Below are 18,565 nucleotides of genomic sequence, written 5' to 3'. Positions count from 1 at the left end.
TCAGCATTCCAGTCAGATACTTGTACAGGTTAAGATTGAACAAATGTGACAGAAGTCTACCACATTCATCTCTGGCAAACCCAATGTTAGAAAGTCTTTTTCATCTGGAAAAAAATGGTTCAGGTATTTATAGACACTTTCCTTGTCTGATTCAAGTCCTCTAACCTTTAGGCTTCATATCCCTATTTATTTTGACCATTCTTGGGAATATGGTATCTTAAACCTCAGAATGCATTTGTCTATTAATATTCCACTTAAAGGGTGTAGTAGGTGCTGTAGTCTCAATGTTGGTGTCCCACCCAAATTCATATGTTGAAGCTCCATTTCCAATGTGATAGTGTTAAGAGGTGGGGCCTTTGGTGGTGATTAGGTCATGAGGGCAGAGCTCTCATGAATGGGATTAGTGCCCTTATAAAAGAGGCTGGGGGGACCGGGCTCAGTGGCTCACACCTGTAATCCCAGCACTTTGGGAGGCAGAGGCAGGTGGATCACGAGGTCAGGAGATCGAGACCATCCTGACCAACATGGTGAAACCCCATCTCTACTAAAAAAATAAATAACAAAAATTATCTAGGCGTGGCTGTGCGTGCCTGTAGTCCCAGCTACTCAGGAGGCTGAGGCAGGAGAATTGCTTGAACCTGGGAGGCAGAGGTTGCAGTGAGCCAAGGTCGTGCCACTGCACTCCAGCCTGGGTCACAGAGTGAGACTCCGTCTAAAAAAAAAAAAAAAAAAGAGGCTGGGGGAGGGGGAAGCATGTTTGCCCTTTTCTGCCATGTGAGGACACAAAGAAGTCTCCATTGATGAAGCAGACAGCGGGCTCTGACACCACATCTGCTGGTGCCTTGAACTTGGACTTCCCAGCCTACAGAACTATGTGAAACAAATTTGTGCTGTTTATAAATTACCCAGTCTAAGGTATTTTGTTACAGCAGCCCGAAAGGACTAAGAGATGAGTTAAATAGTGTCCACAAAAATTCATGTCCCCCTAGAACCTCAGAATGTGCCCTTATTTGGAAATAGGATCTCTGCAGATGTAATTAGTTGAGGATCAGGATAAAATCATTTCAGTTTACTGTGGGCCCTAAATCCAACGACTAATGTCCTTATAAGAAGAGGAAAAGATACAGGAAGACACACAGAGAAGGCGGCCATAGGAAGAAGGAGGTTACAGAGATGGCATCATTCTGCCACAAACCGGCGGGTGCAAAGGATGGCTAGCAGCCATCAGACGCTGGGAGAGGGGCTGGAGGTGGTTTTTCCCTTGAGCCTCCAGTAGGAATCAGCCCTGCTCACACCAGACTTTGGGGCCCCAGAACTGTGAGACAATGAGACTATGTTGTTTTAAGCCACCAAGTTTGTGATGTCTTGCGGCCGCCACTGGAAACTAATACAAAGAGAATCCCAGCGTTGAACACAGGCATGCAGGGTTAGCTTTGCCAGCACAGGAGAGAGTCGAGCTATACTTTCTTCATCCTTCTGGATGTGCCTGAAGTCACGTCAGTTGTTGTGGTTTTTTCCAAAAGACCATCCTGAGCCCACTGTTGATTAAACTTCCAGTGTTTTCCACCGAGGCTGCTCCTAAGCCATCAGCCATTTCATTCAGCCTTTCAGGATACTTGCTGAATCCTGATGCGTCACCCACAGTCTTTACTCTTTCTAGCAGCTTGTGTCACTAGTGAATGCATGAACATAGCTTTTTTTTTTTTTTTTTTTTTTTTTGAGACGGAGTCTCGCTGTCGCCCAGGCTGGAGTGCAGTGGGACAATCTTGGCTCACTGCAGGCTCCGCCCCCCCGGGGTTCACGCCATTCTCCTGCCTCAGCCTCCCGCGTAGCTGGGACTACAGGCGCCCACTACCTCGCCCAGCTAATTTTTTGTATTTTTAGTAGAGACGGGGTTTCACCGTGTTAGCCAGGATGGTCTCGATCGCCCGACCTCGTGATCCGCCCACCTCGGCCTCCCAAAGTGCTGGGATTACAGGCGCCCGGCCGAACATAGCTTTCTGTATCTTCATCTAGGTTAGTGGTTCTTAGCCTTTTGCTTTATAGATCCCCTTTGATAAGTGATGAAAGCGGTGTACCTTTCTCCAGAAGACTACGTATTTATGTAGAGATACACAGAACTTTTAATAAGGTTAGGAGGCCAGTTGCCTCTTGAAGCCCCAAGTTAAGAATCCCTGCGCTAAGTTAGGGTGGAAGTGCTGGCAAGTGAACGGACAGGCCCTCGCGGTGTGTTGGTAAAAATCTAGGCTGCTGGGCGTTATTCCATTAATCAGCACTCTTCAAGGATGGCCGTTTCACAGAGTTCTAACTCACTTTATTGACTTTGCATTTAGCATGTGTTTCTTCAGCTTATGATACCATAAAAGACATAATCAGATGCTTTGCTGGAAAAAACAAGGATACTCTATGTACTTTGTTCCTGATTGGCTAGGCCAGGAGCCACTGCACGGAAGGAAAAGAAGTGAATCTTTCATGGCTTAGCCTTGGTGTGTTAGTTTCTTATTGCCGCAGTAACAAATCACCAAAAACTAGGTGGCTCACAGCAACACCAATTTACTCCTCTTACAGTTCTGGGGGTCAGAATTCTGAAATGAGTTTTACTGGCCTCAGTGAGACCAAGGTGTTGGCAAGACTGCGTGGCTTTGGAGCTCTCAGGGGGAATCATTTCCTTGCCTTTTTCAGCTTGTAGAAGCTGCCTGTGTTCCCTGGCCCATGGCCCCTTCCCCCATCTTCAAGTCTCTGACTTTGACTTTCTCCGTCTGTCACCCACATTTAAAAGACACTTGTGATTACATTGGGCCCACCCAGACAGTCCAGGAGAATCTCTTTATTGTAAAGTCAGCCGATGATCAACCTTGTTTCATCTGCAACCTAGTTCCCCCTTGCTCTGTAACCTGATGTATTCACTGACAGGTCCTGGGGATTGGGAGATGGACGTCTTTGAGGGAGCCGTCGTTCTGCCTCTCTCACGTAGCAGGCCTGTGCTGGCACCCCACCATTACAGCTTTCTCTTCACACTGTCTGCAGATTATTCCTTCAGTAATCATTTGTGAAATTTTTCTAAGGCTTAGCAGGACCCTAATGGGTCAGTTGTTTTCACGGCTCACCTTCATTGTTTCGTATCAGTGCTCTGTACACGGGTTGGTTTTCCAACATTTCTTTTCTATGACTCCTTAAAGGTCAGTGATGCACCTTCTCATTTGCATGTTATCAGCAGACTAATTCATCTGGATCAGAAAAATCCTAAATTCCTGTGGGACAGCTGCCTCAAGTATTCATTCATCAAATAATTATTAAGCACCTACTGAGTTCCAGACAGGACAGGAAGTTCCTGCATGCTGTTGCTGTCTGGTGGGGGGAAGTAAAAGGAGTCAGCTCTTGTGTCCTATCTGGGGAAAGCAGACCGTTACACAGGTCATAACACGATTATTTAATCATAGTCTTGGGAAAGCATCGGGATGCTGAGAGCATAAATGGCAGAAGAGACTCAGTCTAGGGTGGTCAAGGCGTCCCTGAAGAAATGATGTTTCAGCTGAGACGGCAGCATGAGCAGATATTACACTGAGAGGGGGCAGAAAGGAGGATGTTTCAGTCCAAGGAAATATACACGAAGACTAAAAGGTGCAAAAACTGTGATGTACTTGTGGAATTTGAAAGGAGTTAGAGAGTAAGGGGGAGAGTGGGGCACAGTAGAGTTGAAAAAGTCAGTGTTTTCCAGGCCTTGTTAGGATTTTGGACTTTATATAAGAGGAATGGAAAACTATTGGAGGGATTTTTGTTGGTGTTTTAAGATTTTTTAATTGTGGTAAAATAACGTATAAATTGACCATCTAACTGTTAAGTCATGGTAAGTACATTTCCACTGTTGTGCGACCCATCTACAGAACTCTTTGTCTTGCAAAATGGAAACTCTATACCCATTATACCAGCTGGGTGCAGTGGCTCAGCCTGTAATCCCAGCACTTTGGGAGGCTGAGGTGGGCAGATCACTTGAGGTCACGAGTTCGAGACCAGCCTGGCTAACATGGTGAAACCCCATCTCCACTAAAAATACAAAAATTAGCGTTAGCCAGGCGTGGTGGTGTGCACCTGTAGTCTCAGCTACTCAGGAGGCTGAGGCAGGAGACTCGCTTGAACCCGGGAGGCAGAGGTTGTAGTGAGCCGAGATCACACTACTACACTCCAGCTTGGGCGACACAGCAAGACTCCATCTCAAAAATAAAAAATAAAAACATACCCATTAAATGACAAGACTCCATTACCCCCTCTGCCGCAGCCCCTGCGAACACCACTCTACTTTCTGTCTCTATGAATTCGACTAGGTTAGTTCCTCATAATTTGTAACTGGATTATTTCACTTAGCATATGTCCTCAGGTTCATCTGTGTTGTAGCATGTGTTAAAATACTGTTGAAGAATTTTAACCTGGGGAATAAAGTGACCAGATTTTTAAAAATTAGCACACATTTTTACCAGCTGTAACATACACTGAAAAATACACAACCGTAAGTCTGCAGCCTGATGACTTCCCACAGAATGAACACACTGATGTAGCCATGAACCTAGTGGAGAAGTTGAGTGTGGCCAGCTTTGCAGACCACCTCAGGTCCCTTCCAGTCACGGCTCCTTCCCTCCTCGCTCCCCAGCAGTAACTTCTGTCCTCGCTTTGACACCGTAGTTTATACCTGTTCCTTAACTTATGTGTAAAGGACAGCTTTTTACCTGCAGCACTCTGATACCAAATGTGTGGATTTTCAACATCAATTGGATGTCCTACAGTTTAATTCAATTCTGACACTAACTACCTGGTAAAGTTAGCGCAGACCCCACAGGTAAAGGGCCTAGTCCCACAAAACCGCCCCCTACTTCAGACACCGGTTGTAGGTAGTGGGACAAAGGGTACCCACACATCTGTCTTGACTTGGCTACAATTCAGGAGGTTCCCGTAACGCCCTACTCAGTTTGATAATTTGCTATATAACAGCTCATAGAACTCAGGAAAACACTTTACTTACTGTCCCTGTTATTATAAAGGGTGTTATGTAAGATACAAATTAAGAGCCGGATGGAGAGGTACATAGGGTAAGGTCTGGAAGGGTCCCATGACCAGGAGCTTCTGTCGCGGTATTGCGGGGGTGTAATAATCCTCTTGGCATACGCCTAGCCCAAAGCTACCTGAACCCTGTTGTTTAAAGTTTTTAGGGAGGCTCCATTACACATTACACATGATTTTTTTTTTTTGAGACTGAGTTTCGCTCTGTCACCCAGGCTGGAGCGCAGTGGTACGGTCTTGGCTCAATGCAGCCTCCACCTCCTAGGTTCCGGCAATTTCCTGCCTCAGCCTCCCTAGTAGCTGGAATTACAGGCATGCACCACCATGCCCGGATAGTTTTTGTATTTTTAGTAGAGATGGGGTTTCACCATGTTGGCCAGGCTGGTCTCAAACTCCTGACCTCGGGTGATCCTCCCGCCTCGGCCTCCCAAAGTGCTGGGATTACAGGCGTGAGCCACTGTGCCCACCCCGACACAGACATGATTGATTTAAGTCATTGGCCATTGGATTGGCTCAACCTTTAGCCCCTTGCCCCTCCCCAGAGGTTTGAGGGGCTGGGAGTTGGGCTGAAAGTTTCAGTCCTCTAATTACATGATTGGTTCCTCTGGCAACCAGACCCCATCTTCCAAGAGTCACCTTATTAGCACAGACGCTGGTATGGTTGAAAGGGGCTTATTTTGAATAAGAAAACATGCTCCTCTCACCCCTGTCACTCAGGAAATTACTAACGTGTTAGGAATTCTATGACAGAAACCAGGGATGAAGACTAAATATGTATTTCTTATTATATCACAATATACATGGAATCACGGTATGCCTTCTTGTGACTAGTTTCTTTTGCTCACATCATGTTAGTGAGATGAATTCATGTTACTGCATGTAGCAGTGGTTTTGTCGGTGATCTGCTTTATGAATATGTGGTAGTTATGCATTCTGCTGTCCATGGGCCTGTGGGTTTCCTGCTTTTTGGTGGTTAAGAACAATGCAGTCCAGTCATGAGCATTGTATGTGTCTTTTGTACACATATATACACATTTTATTGGGAATACATTTGAGTGTCCATAAGACACTCTTAAGAGAGGAAGAATTGTCTTCTTTCTCTGAGTCTTCTTTCAAGCCCAACGTGTCCAACATGGTTCATCTTTCCTAATCTTTTCCTCCTCTAGTGTTTGCTGTCTGTCGGTAACACCACCTCTGCCCAGTGTGTTTTGCCAGAAACTGAGGCATTTCCCTCTTTAGACCCCCCACTCCCATATCTAAGTAATTACTGGGTCCTATTGATCCAAACTCCTAAATATCTCTAAAATGTGGTCTGTTTCTCTCCACACCTGTTGCAGCCTCCTCTGGTCTGTGGCTCCCTTCTAGCCCATTCTCTATAGTAACAGGACACAGACTTTCTCTGTTGCACATCCACATGTAGCCCCAGGGTATGCATTAAACTCATAAATGTCATACATACACTATTAGGGTTTTTTTTTTTTTCCCCACAGATACTATCTTAAGGCTCAACACTTAGGCTAAGAGTAACAGCGGGAATAAATCTATATTTCTGATAGTCTTCATGATATTTTCTAGTTTTTTGACTTTCTTTTCCAAATCTGATTGGTGGTGATGGTTTGTTTGTTTTTTTGTTTTTGTTTTTGTTTTTTTTTAAGACCCAGTTTCGCTCTGTCGCCCAGGCCAGAGTACGGTGACACCATCTCAGCTCACTGCAACCTCTGCCTCCCGGGTTCAAGCAATTCTCCTGCCTCAGCCTCCCGAGTAGCTGGGATTAAAGGTGCCCACCACCATGCCTGGCTAATTTTTGTATTTTTAGTAGAGACAGGGTTTCACCCTGTTGGCCAGGGTGGTCTTGAACTCCTGACCTCAGATGATCCACCCACCTCAGCCTCCCAAAGTGAGAGGATTACAGCCATGAGCCACGCACCAGTTGTAATGGTGATGGTTGTTTTTTAACCCTTTATAGTAGCTAAAAAGAGAGAAGTATCAGCTCTACCAGTTTATTTTTGCTGGGGTTTTTAAAAAAAGGCATTTGTCCATTTGATGAGGGACAATTTAGTAAAAAGTGGATCATTTCGTCTGTAAATCCTGTAACTGAGTAGTGTATGGCTATTATACTGTTGGCAGTATTATCTGAAAACAAACGGATGAATGAGAGAGTCACTACCATCCCTGTTGCATTTCAGAAATCCCTCTCTTTATTTAGGACAACTGGTATACCACATGAGACAGACAGACACACAGACACATACGCGTGCGCGCGCGCACACACACACACACACGCACACACACACAAAGTCATCTGACATTCAGGTTGAGGAAAGCAGCCAGTGTTAATCCTTAATTAAATGCCAGTAAAACTTAACTTACTTCTAGCTGGGCATGGTGGCTCAGAGTGACTCCTTCTCAAAGAAAAAAAAAATTGCATTTTTTGTTTGTTTGCTGTTTTTTTTTGTTTTTTTTTTTTTTTTTTTTTTTTTTTTTTTTGAGACAGAACCTCACTCTGTTGCCCAGGCTGGAGTATAGTGGCTCGATCTCAGGGCCTGGCTAATTTTTGTATTTTTAGTAGAGATGGGTTTTCACCATGTTGGCCTCAAATTCCTGGCCTCATGAGATCTGCCCGCCTTGGCCACCCAAAGTGCTGGGATTACAGGTGTGAGCCACCACTCCTGGCCAAAATTTATTTCTTGTTACCAATAACCAGCAGAGTAATTTTTTAAAAACTCAAATACATTTAGGAACACCCATAGATAAAAGATCAATAAAACAAAAATTAAGTCAGTTGTAGTTCTATATGCCAGTAACAAACAATTAGAAAATAAAAATTTCACAATATCATTTAAAGTAATATTGGCACTGAAAACTGCAAAGCACTGTTGCAAGGAATTAAAGATGTAAATAAACAGACTTTTCATGTTCATAGGTCCAAAGACTTGTTTTGTTAAGGTACCTGTGCCCTCCAAATTGACCTACACATTCAGACCATCCTGTGAAAATACCAGAACTTCATATGGAAGTAAAAGGGACTCACAGTAGTCAAAACAATCTTGAAAACAAATAATAAAATTAAGAGAATTCACATTTCTCAATTTGAAAACTTACTACAAGACAGTGTGGTACTGATAGAGACATGGTAGATCAGTGGAGTAGAACTGAGAACCAGAAAGAAACCCTTTTGTCACTTGATTTTTGAGAAGGGTGCCCAGACAATTCAATAGAGGGAAAGAATAGTCTTTTCAGTAAAGGGTGCGGGGACAACTGGATATCGGAGAAGTTAGAGGGAGAGGGAGGATGCGAAAGGAATGTGCATTGTCTCAAAAGCTAAGTGGGCATCTGCATCTGACCCTGGCCTGGAGGGTGACATGCCACGGGGTGGAAGGAATTCTTTGCATTTGGTGATATAATGCAAAGTGCCTAGAAATTGGGAAGAAAGCGATTGTATCATTTTTTAAGTTTGCAAATCCTAGGACAAAGAAAGCTGGGTCGTTACAAATCATCTCAAGAAACAATATGAGTGATTAATTGAAGAAACCAGCATGAATGCATAAGATATAAACAGCTGTTCTACTGAAATGAAGTAAAAATAGGTAACAGAGAAACCTATTCTAAGAATGTATTTGCTGGCCGGGCGCAGGGGCTCACACCTGTAATCCAGCACTTTGGGAGGCCGAGGCGGGCAGATCACGAGGTCAAGAGATGGAGCCCATCCTGGCCAACATAGTGAAACCCCATCTCTGCTAAAAATATAAAAATTAGCTGGGTGTAGTAGTCCCAGCTACTCGGGAGGCTAAAGCAGGAGAATCGCTTGAACCTGGGAGGCAGAGGTTGCAGTGAGCCGAGATCGTGCCACTGTACTCCAGCCTGGGCGACAGAGTGAGACTCTGTCTCAAATTAAAAAAAAAAAAAAAAAGAATGTATTTGCTTTTTTACAGTCTCTGCACTCATTGTCAGTGTCATGTAGCCGTGCTTGTTGCAGTTCTCAGGTTATTCTCTGTGGTAGAGAAAGCAAAAGCAAAAAAGTCTTGAGAAATGTTTCCATCCATCATTTAGTTGGCCCTGGGCAGTAAACCTATTTCTTTCCAACTCTTCTTGCTCTGAATATACTTAAAAAAATAATAAAACTTTTGTGAGAAGTAGCTTTGCTTGTTCCTATCATTACTGGCAACCTTCAACTTTCTGGGCTTTTTAAAGAAAAGCTGTGTAAGCCTGTACCATCATCTTGTGTTTGCCTTTTCAGGTTTTGTTTGAGTCCTCCTTAAAGCTTAATTTGTCTTGTGTGTTCTTGCTGCTTTCTTCATAAAATGTGTCATTTTCTTTCTCATCAAGATGATTTGTTACTGAGCTTTGTTTGCCCAGGATTTTGTAAACTCTGAAATGATACGTTGCTTTCTTCCATGTGACTTGTCACTTCTGTTCGGGGCCTGCATTGGGTTCGGGCAGCTGTTCACCGGGATATGCCTGGCCACTGTCCTGTGGGAGGCAAAGTGAATGGAAGCGGAGGGGTGAGATCTCTTCTGCAGCTCTAGGTGGTTGCAATCCCTGTCCATGCCCTATCCTGTCTGCCAGTTTTGAGATCTGTTAAAAACCTTTATCTTTACTCCATTTGGCCAGTTGACCTCGGCATGCTCCCGCATCGAAGTCTAATTTAGCTTTCTGCCTCTCAGAGGTGTTCTTGAGTGCTTCTGTTTACTTGGGATTCCTTGAAGGACGTACATTATCTTGACATAAAATCCTTTTTTTCCCTCTGAATAATAGTGTGCTTTCCATCATTATAGGCCAATCTTGAGACCTGCCTCAACAAGTGTCACTGATTATTTTCTATATTTAAGGTGAACTTTAAGGTTTTTTCTTATTACTTGTATTTATTGGTTTATGGACGTCTCAGATTAAGAACACTTTAAACCTCTTATTTTCTCAGGTGAGCAATCTCTCTCAGTCTTTCTTTTTCTGTAATCCTCCGTAGGGACTGATTTTATGATTTCCCTTGTATTCTCTTCCTCCCTCCCTCCTCACCAATTTAGCTTAAAGTCCTTTGGTTGCTGGACAGATGGCTTCTTCCCTGTTAGTGTGAGCTGCATGGCTCCTGGCCTGTCATTACATTTTAAATTATGGTCCAGATAGCCCAGTCTTTGTCATTACTGTCATTGCATCGAGTCATTAGTACTGGAAATACTCATACTAGAAGAAAGAAGTGATGAAATAAAACAAGCTTGCTCCCACATTCTTTTCTGCCCAAGAGTTAGTAGTGCCTTCAGGCGCTGCTCTGGATCAAGGGTGGTGTCCTTGTGTCCCTATGTGTGGCAGCAGCAGTGGGAAGTTGAGTCTCCATATGGCCACTTGGTTTCCAACAGGAATTTTCGTCCTTTGTGTTTCAGTAGATGATGCTGTTAGCCAGAACTCTACACTGGAAAGACGTCACATGTGAGAGGAAGCTAATAAGTTTGGACTGCTCAGTATTCATGGAGAAATGTCAAGCAGGCAGGTGAATATTAAACAGAAAAGCTCAAGAGGGAGATTTAGATTTAGATTGTGATGTACACAGGTGGTAGTCGAAGGCAGGGGAGTGGATGATACTGTCCACTGAGAAAAGAGGGCCTGGGACAGACCTTGGCGAGGGTCTAGCAGTGGAAAGTGAGAAAGAATAGTTAGAGAGGTGGGAGGAAAACTTGATGGATAGGAGCCAAGAGAACAGAGAGCCTCGGGAAGAGTTGTACTCAGTACTGTAATTCCTTTGTGGAACGAAGAGTGATGTGGATAAACAATTAACACTTATATTGCACTGTGACACCAACTTTGTATGAGGACCAAGCTCTAATTTTCAGTTATTTAGATCTGTAGCATCTTGCATGAAGTATCTGTTGCATCATTTATAATAGAAATTATTATTTTTGAAATTGACTTTTCATGCAAAGTGATTTGTATTAGCCGTCATTTAAACTTACTCTTAAGATGCTTTTTATTATGTCATGGAGAACATCCAACAGATATATTTGCGTTCTAAGGATGTAAAAAATAATCAAAATCCATTTGAGATACACAGTAACTAAGTTCAGCAGACAAACAATGATGGACGGCTGCTGACAAGTGCATCTGCTGCAGTTCCACTGTTAGGACATTCCTGCCATGTTGACTGCAGCATCCAGCATTTAGGTGTCCAGAAGGTATTTTGCTGCCACCTTCTTAAAAATTCTGTACAAAGGCCGGGGCGCGGTGGCTCACGCCTGTAATCCCAGCACTTTGGGAGGCCCAGGCAAGCAGATCACAAGGTCAGGAGATCGAGACCATGGTGAAACCCCGTCTCTACTAAAAATACAAAAAATTAGCCAGGTGTGATGGCGGGCACCTGTAGTCCCAGCTACTCGGGAGGCTGAGGCAGGAGAATGGCGTCAACCCGGGAGGCAGAGCTTGCAGTGAGCCGAGATCGCACCACTGCATTCCAGCCTGGGTGACAGATCGAGACTCTGTCTCAAATAAATAAATAAATAAATAAATAAATATAATATCTATACAAAAAGGTGATAATTTGTTGTAAGAATGTATCACCTTTTTATTTACAATTGGTAATTGTAAGAATTGTCAATTAGGAGAAAAACAAGAAACACATTTAGTTTACTTTTTAAAAGTACTAGAATTGGCCAGGTTTGGTGGCTTACGCCTGTAATCCCAGCAGTTTGGGAGGTCGAGGTGGGCAGATTGTTTGAGTTCAGGAGTTCGAGACCAGCCTGGGCAACATAGTGAGACCTCATGTTGGGGTAAATACAAAAATTAGCCAGGCATGGTGGTGCATGCCTGTAGTCCCAGCTACTCAGGATGCTGAGGTGGGAGGATTACTTGAGCCCAGGAAGTTGAGCAGTGAGCTCTGATTGTGCCACTGCACTCCACCCTGGGCGACAGAGTGAAACCCTGTCTCCAAAAATAAAAATAAAAAGGACAGTGCAAGAACAACCCCGAAGTGCTGAGAGAAAATTAACAGTCTGGAATTTTTTACTTAATTAACCTGTCACTCAAGAATGAGAACAAAAGAAAGATGTTTTCAGATGTAAAATACAAGTTTACCTAACAGATCCTCATTGAAAGAACTTCTGAAGGATGTAGAATAAGGAGGAGGGAAATGGAACACAGAAGGAAAAAAGTGAGCTGTGAGGAGGACTGTGATGGTGAATTCTATGTTTCACCTTGACTGGGCCACAGGTGCCCACATACTTGGTCAGACAGTATCCTGAGAGAATTCTTGTGTTTCGGTCAGGGTGGTTTTGGACGAGGTTAACGTTTGAATGGGTAGACCGAATAAAGCAGATTGCTCTCCATAATGTGGGTGGGTCTTATCCATTCCACTGATGGCATGAATAGAACAAAAAAGTGACACTCCCTGGAGTCAGAGGGGTTTCCTCCTGCCTGACTGCCTTATGGCTGAGACCTTTGACTCTTGTGGGCGCGGAGCCTGCTGGTCTTTGGCCTGGAACTCCATCGGCTCTGCTGGGTCTCCAGCCTGCCAGCTCACCCTGCAGAGCTTGGGATTTGTCTGTCTCCATAATTGCCAGAGCCAATTCCTTATAATAAATCCCTTTGTATCTACATATCTGTATAAAGAAATAACTAGATAGAGCTAGACATAGGGAGAGTGGCCCTGCCTACACCTTGATTTTGGACTTCTGGCCTTCAGAACTGTGGGAGAATACATTTCTGTTGTTTAAGCCACCATGCTTGTGGTACTTTGTTCTGGCAGCCCTAGGAAACTAAGAGCCTTGAGGTATTCAGGAGGAGAATAGAGGTACTGATTAATTGTAGACCTTTTATCAGGTATGCATGTTAACATTTTAAGGGTAGGCACTAAAAAAATAGAACTTGAATATATAGATGAGGAAAAGGGGGAAATGAAATTCGGTCAATATATTCAGAGGCAGAAAGGAGAGGGAAAAAAAGTATAAAGAAGCTTAGAAAAGTAGAATAAATAAGAACACAATAAAATAATAGAGATGAATCCAGCTATATCATATACATATGCAAATAGACTAAGCGTGGCAGTTGAGACTCCTTTTGCAGTCTGATTTAACCTGTGGGCTGCTTCTCAGAATAGTGTTAAGTGCAGGAGTAAATAGGATTAAAGAAACCCAAGTATACTGAAACAATGTATCAAAGTATTTAAAATACTTAACATGTCTGTGACATGGTAATACTTGTACAGTTAACATTAGGGACAGGATTCAGTGGTGGGCCTAATCACCTTATCAGTATTTTGCAGTATTTGCAATAACTGTAATGTGGTTGCTGCTGGTTACAGAGTTACAGATGGTTTGTTATCTGTGTTTATAAATAAATAAAATGCTAGATTTCAGTTAGATTTTAGCAGAAATAAAGATGATTTCCCCTCATCCAAATGTCACTCAGCCCTGAATTCTATCCCCAGAGCCTTGTCAAGAATGCTTGCTGTAGCTGCTGATCTTCAAGTGGGGCTCTCCACTCCCAAATAGCTCATGTTTCCCTCGAGTGAGGGAAGGAGGCAGAGGGGTGGTACCTTAGCTGTCTCCCTGTGTCAAAGCGCTTGGAAACCAAAGAAGCTTTCTTTTTGGGTTTTGTCCTTTTTGGTGGGTTTGAATTGCCAAGTGTGGATTCTGATGAATTAAGAGCCACTGTATAAGGTTACCTTGAGGTTTGAAGTGAGCTGTTAATTGCCTACCAGCCTCTGCTTATTTAAAACAGAAAACAGAAACCTTATGTAATTCAGGCATCTGTGATCACTTCCATGCAGCCACATGCTTTAAGTGACACCTGTTTGAGTCCCAGAAGAGGGTGTGGGGCACAGAAGGATAAATGACCTAGGGTGAGCTGCACAGAAGTGAAGAGCTTAAATTACATACCTGGAGGGTTGGCTTTTTCTGTCTCCCACTGAATATGAACAGGGAGCTGTGTGACTTCATTTGCTGCTGGCAGTCATCTTATGATAAAGAGGGGACTCTTAGGATGAAGCTGAAGCTACAGATGGCAAAGGGAAGAGATGAAAAGGAACCAGATCCTGGTGACACTGCTGAGGTGCTGAATTCTTCACCGCAAAATACAGCCCTGTTCTGAGACAGGATAAATTCCCTCTTCCCGTTTTTGAGATAGCATCTCTCTCTGCCTCCCAGGGTGGAGTGCAGTGGCGCCATCCCAGTTCACTGTAGCTTTCAACTCCTGGGCTCAAGGGATTCTCCCACCTCAGCCTCCCAAAGTGCTGGGATTACAGGCATGAGCCACCGCACCTGGCCTCATTATTTTTAATCAATCTAAGTCATTGATTTTGTTACATGGAACACTGGTTCTTCCTATGTGAGTCAAGCAGAAATTGCCTAGATTCGGAGGTTAATCCTGTAGCCTTTGATAATAATATCATCCTCTAGCCTAGAAGCAGGGCAGAGCAACCTGGAAACAGACAAATTAGATACAGAGTGATTTGCCGTAAACCGGACTACAGACTCCCTTCCGTGCCCCTTCCATGTAAACCAGTTGAAATCTTGGAGAACTCCTATTAACTCATCAAGGCAGAGGTTTTGCTTGGAATGGAAGGGAATGAATTCCCTTCTGTGTGTGTAATTTTCCACTTTCCTCTCCCGATTCTTAGCATGCTGTTGACCTGATTTAGCTGTGTCTATTAGAAACTGGGTTCATAGAAGTAAAAATGAAAAATAATTTCTCAGAAGAGGGCTGCTCAGCATGAGATGTTAGTAAGCATTGTTGTTCCAATAAAAAAAAAAAAAGTGTGCTGTTGACATGGTGAACATGAACCCTGGAGAGTCCTGGGCCCACGCCAGGGAAGGCAGAGTACTCGGGAGCGTCAGTATTGAAGGTTCGACTGGAGGAAGAAGAGGCAGTAAAGACCCAAAGAATGACTGTGGTAGTGCAGGAGGAAAGCCTGGAGGAAGTGGGACGTGGGAGTGGAGAGAGGAGAGCGCTTGGCTGGGGCAGGCCAGTTTGGAGAACAAAGAGTGGCCTGAGATTTATTTTATTTATTTTTTTAGACAGAGTCTCACTCTGTCGCCCAGGCTGGAGTGGAGTGGTGCAATCTCGGCTCACTGCAACCTCTGCCTCCCAGGTTCAAGCAGTTCTTCTGCCTCAGCCTCCCGAGTAGCTAGGATTACAGGCCTACACACCACGCCAAGCTAAATTTTGTATTTTTAATAGAGACAGGGTTTCACCATGTTGGTCAGGCTGGTCTTGAACTCCCGACCTCAGGTGATCTGCCTGCCTTGGCCTCCCAAAGTGCTGGGATGACAGCTATGAACCACCACGCCGGGCCAGAAAAAAACATTTTCAATAAGACTAAACACCCAATGAAGCTAAGTAATAAAAAGAAATGTTAGGTTTAAGTGAAAGTGTAGAAGCAGTAAAATAATAAGTTATATCCATGGAAGTGGATAAAGAGAATGAAAGCTCCACCTAAGTCCAGTAGCTGCCATTAAAAATAAAATTAAGAAATTGATAACAGAAATGATGAATTGTATTTTTTCTTTGAATCATAAAATTAGAATTTGACAAAGGAAAATAAGGAAAGATAGGGTAGAAGCAGGAAATTTAAAGAATAAAGAAATTATAATCTAATTCAGGAGTAGGAAAGCAACCAGACCATAGCTGACAATGGAGGAATCTAAATCCGGGGTAACTAATTAGTCTCATTTTTATTTTTACCTCTTTTGTAGGAAGCAACTGATAGAACATTACCGTAGTCAGGATATTACCACGTGAAACAGAGAACTCTTTGCCACAAACTTTTTTTTAATGCCAGTTTTGGCTTAATTTCCCTGTTGTTTTTCCCCTTTTCCTTCATCAATCATGTTAAACATCTATGTGCCAGACATATTCGCAGGAGATGCTAGACCTCACATTCCGGAAGGAAAGCCTCAGAAGTAAACAGCCAGTTACTAATACAGTATGATAAATGCCAAGATGGATGTAACCTAAGGGTGCCATGGCAACTTGAAAAAAGCACCCAACTCAGTCTTAGGAGGCTGGGAAAGCGTTCTGGAGAAGACATTTTGGCAGAATCCTGAGGCTCAGAAGGTGGTGAGCAAGAGTGGTGGGACTGGCATTTCAGGAGGATGAAGTGACACACACAGGCTCTGAGAGGGAGAGGCACATCTTTGCCACTGTGCTGTGCGGCCGCCTGTTTTGACCATCACTGCAGAAAAATACTGTCCGAGGCTATCACTTCTGCCCCTGCAGCAGACTGACAATTCTCAGGGGTAGGAAGGAAACCCTTAGCCTACACAACATGGTGAGTGCTTCTTATGTGGCGTGTTTACATTTCTAAGAAATGAGGTTTTACTAAATCAAATGAATCAAAGAGGAGGAGAGTTTCAGACTGGTGGTGAGAGGTGACAACGTGCTAGCAGCCCCTGCTCGCTCTCGGTGCCTCCTCGCCTTGGTGTCTGCTCTGGCCACGCTTGAGGAGCCCTTCAGCCCACCACTGCACTGTGGGAGCCCCTCTCTGGGCTGGCCGAGGCTGGCCCTGGAGTTCTGCGTGGGTGTGAGCTTGGCGGGCCCTGCACCTGCCCCGGTCAGTGAGGGGCTTAGCACCTGGGCCAGCAGCTGCGGAGGGTGCGCTGGGTCCCTCAGCACTGTGGGCCTGCACGCGCCGCGGTCCACCGCGCACAGATTCTCGTGGGGCCTCAGATGCCTCCCCATGGGGCAGGGCCTGCCATGCCCGAGCCCCACCCCCCTCCGTCCACGCCACTGGAGCCTCCCCGGCGAGCGCTGCCCCCTGCTCCACGGGGCTCGGTCCCATCCACCGCCCAGGGGCTGAGGAGTGTGGGCATGCCGCACGGGATCCACTAGGGGAAGCCAGCTGGGCTCCTGAGTTGGGTGGGGTCTTGGAGAACTTTTCTGTCTAGCTAAAGGATTGTAAATGCACCAATCAGCACTCTGTGTCTAGCTCAAGGTTTGTAAAGGCACCAGTCACTGCTCTGTGTCTAGCTAATCTGGTGGGGACTTGGAGAACTTTTGTGCCTAGCTGGAGGATTGTAAATGCACCAATTGGCACTCTGTGTCTAACTCAAGGTTTGTAAATGCACCAATCAGCACTCTGTGTCTAACTCAAGGTTTGTAAACGCACCAGTCAGCACCCTGTCAAAATGGGCCAATCAGCTCTCTGTAAAATTGACCAATTAGGATGTGGGTGGGGTCAGATAAGGGAATAAAAGCAGGCTGCCCGAGCCAGCAGCGGCAACGTGCAGAGGTCCACTTCCGCGCTGTGGGAGCTTTGTTCTTTCCCTGTTTGAGATAAATCTTGCTGCTGCTCACTGTTTGGGTCCCTGCGGTCTTTATGAGCTGTAACACTCACTGAGAAGGTCTGCAGCTTCACTCTTGAAGTCAGTGAGACCACGAACCCACCAGTAAGAAGAAACTCCGGACATACCATCTTTAAGAACTGTAACACCGTGAGGGTCCGCGGCTTCCTTCTTGAAGTCAGCAAGACCAAGAACCCACGAATTCCGAACACAGTGGGGTGTGGAATAGAGATTTCATTCCTACAGCCCTTTAAATATTTACATACTATTCTTACCTGAATATTCTTCTCCTTCTCTCATTGCAAATGAGATCTTTTCTGAACTTGACCTTCTTAAATTTGTATAGTGTTGTAGGCTCTGTTACATATCGTCTTACTTAATTTTGCAAGAGTTCAAGAGAAGAGTTTAGTCTTTGCTCTGTGTTTTTATGCTGGCAACTTGCGTATCCACCTCCTTCCTGGCTGCGCAAGTTTCAGGGGTTCCATGTGGGCTCCAGCTAACACTAAATCTTGACCATCGTCCTGCCCTCCTCCCTCCTTCAGTCTCTTAAGTGCACTTCGTGTTGGCACCCTCTAACGTCAGCTTCTGTGCTGGTGCCAATTATGATGCCTCAGTGAATGTGGAGGCTTTTATTTTTTTTTTTTGAGACGGAGTCTACTTCCGTCGCCCAGGCTGGAGTCCAGTGGCACAATCTTGGCTCACTGTAACCTCCGCCTCCTGGGTTCAAGCAATTCTCCTGCCTCAGCCTTCTGAGTAGCTGGGATTACAGGCACCCACCACCATGCCCAGCTAATTTTTGTATTTTTAGTAGAGATGGGGTTTCGCTGTGTTGGTCAGGCTGGTCTCGAACTCATGACCCCATGATCTGTCCACTTCGGCCTCCCAAAGTGCTGGGATTACAAGCGTGAGCCACCGCGCCCGGCCATGTGGAGGCTCTTTAAGAGTCAAGAGCAAGGCGTTTGCCACATTGTATCTCTCTTTGGTACTTAGCGTGTAGCTGAGCACATAAGTTACTATTCATTGAGGTGAGGAGCCCAGAATTGTTTGGTGCCTGTCAAGAGGTAAATAAGTCTCATTACTTTTAATACTTTTGGACTCAGCAGGAAAAAGCCCTAGAGGAAAAAAAAAATTAAGTTCTGTAGTAAAATATTTTGTATTATCTATCTTGAAATTTTTATCAGAACCTCTAGTAAGTTTTTCCTGGCTCTATAATTAATAAATGCAAATAATTCAGAGATAGTATCCTCTTATAA

At 44.5% G+C, this 18,565-nt stretch overlaps 1 protein-coding gene across 3 annotated transcripts in view, besides 1 other annotated feature; it reads left to right on the top strand.

Annotated features, from left to right (window-relative positions):
• RNF130 (ring finger protein 130) overlaps nucleotides 1–18,565 on the top strand; it is a 160,109-nt gene that overhangs the window by 8,972 nt on the left and 132,572 nt on the right. The gene's annotated exons all lie outside the window — the stretch shown is intronic.
• Nucleotides 898–1,664: an enhancer, noted in NCBI's record as "H3K27ac-H3K4me1 hESC enhancer chr5:179488124-179488890 (GRCh37/hg19 assembly coordinates)". NCBI's record gives its function as "activates a minimal SCP1, AML or CMV promoter by ChIP-STARR-seq in primed H9 embryonic stem cells {active_cell/tissue: H9 hESC(primed)}" and the evidence as "EXISTENCE:reporter gene assay evidence [ECO:0000049][PMID:30033119]".

Source organism: Homo sapiens, chromosome 5 (genome assembly GCF_000001405.40).
Source record: "Homo sapiens chromosome 5, GRCh38.p14 Primary Assembly".
In the NCBI taxonomy this organism is placed as follows: domain Eukaryota; kingdom Metazoa; phylum Chordata; class Mammalia; order Primates; family Hominidae; genus Homo; species Homo sapiens.
This window is presented reverse-complemented; position numbering and strand designations above follow the sequence as displayed.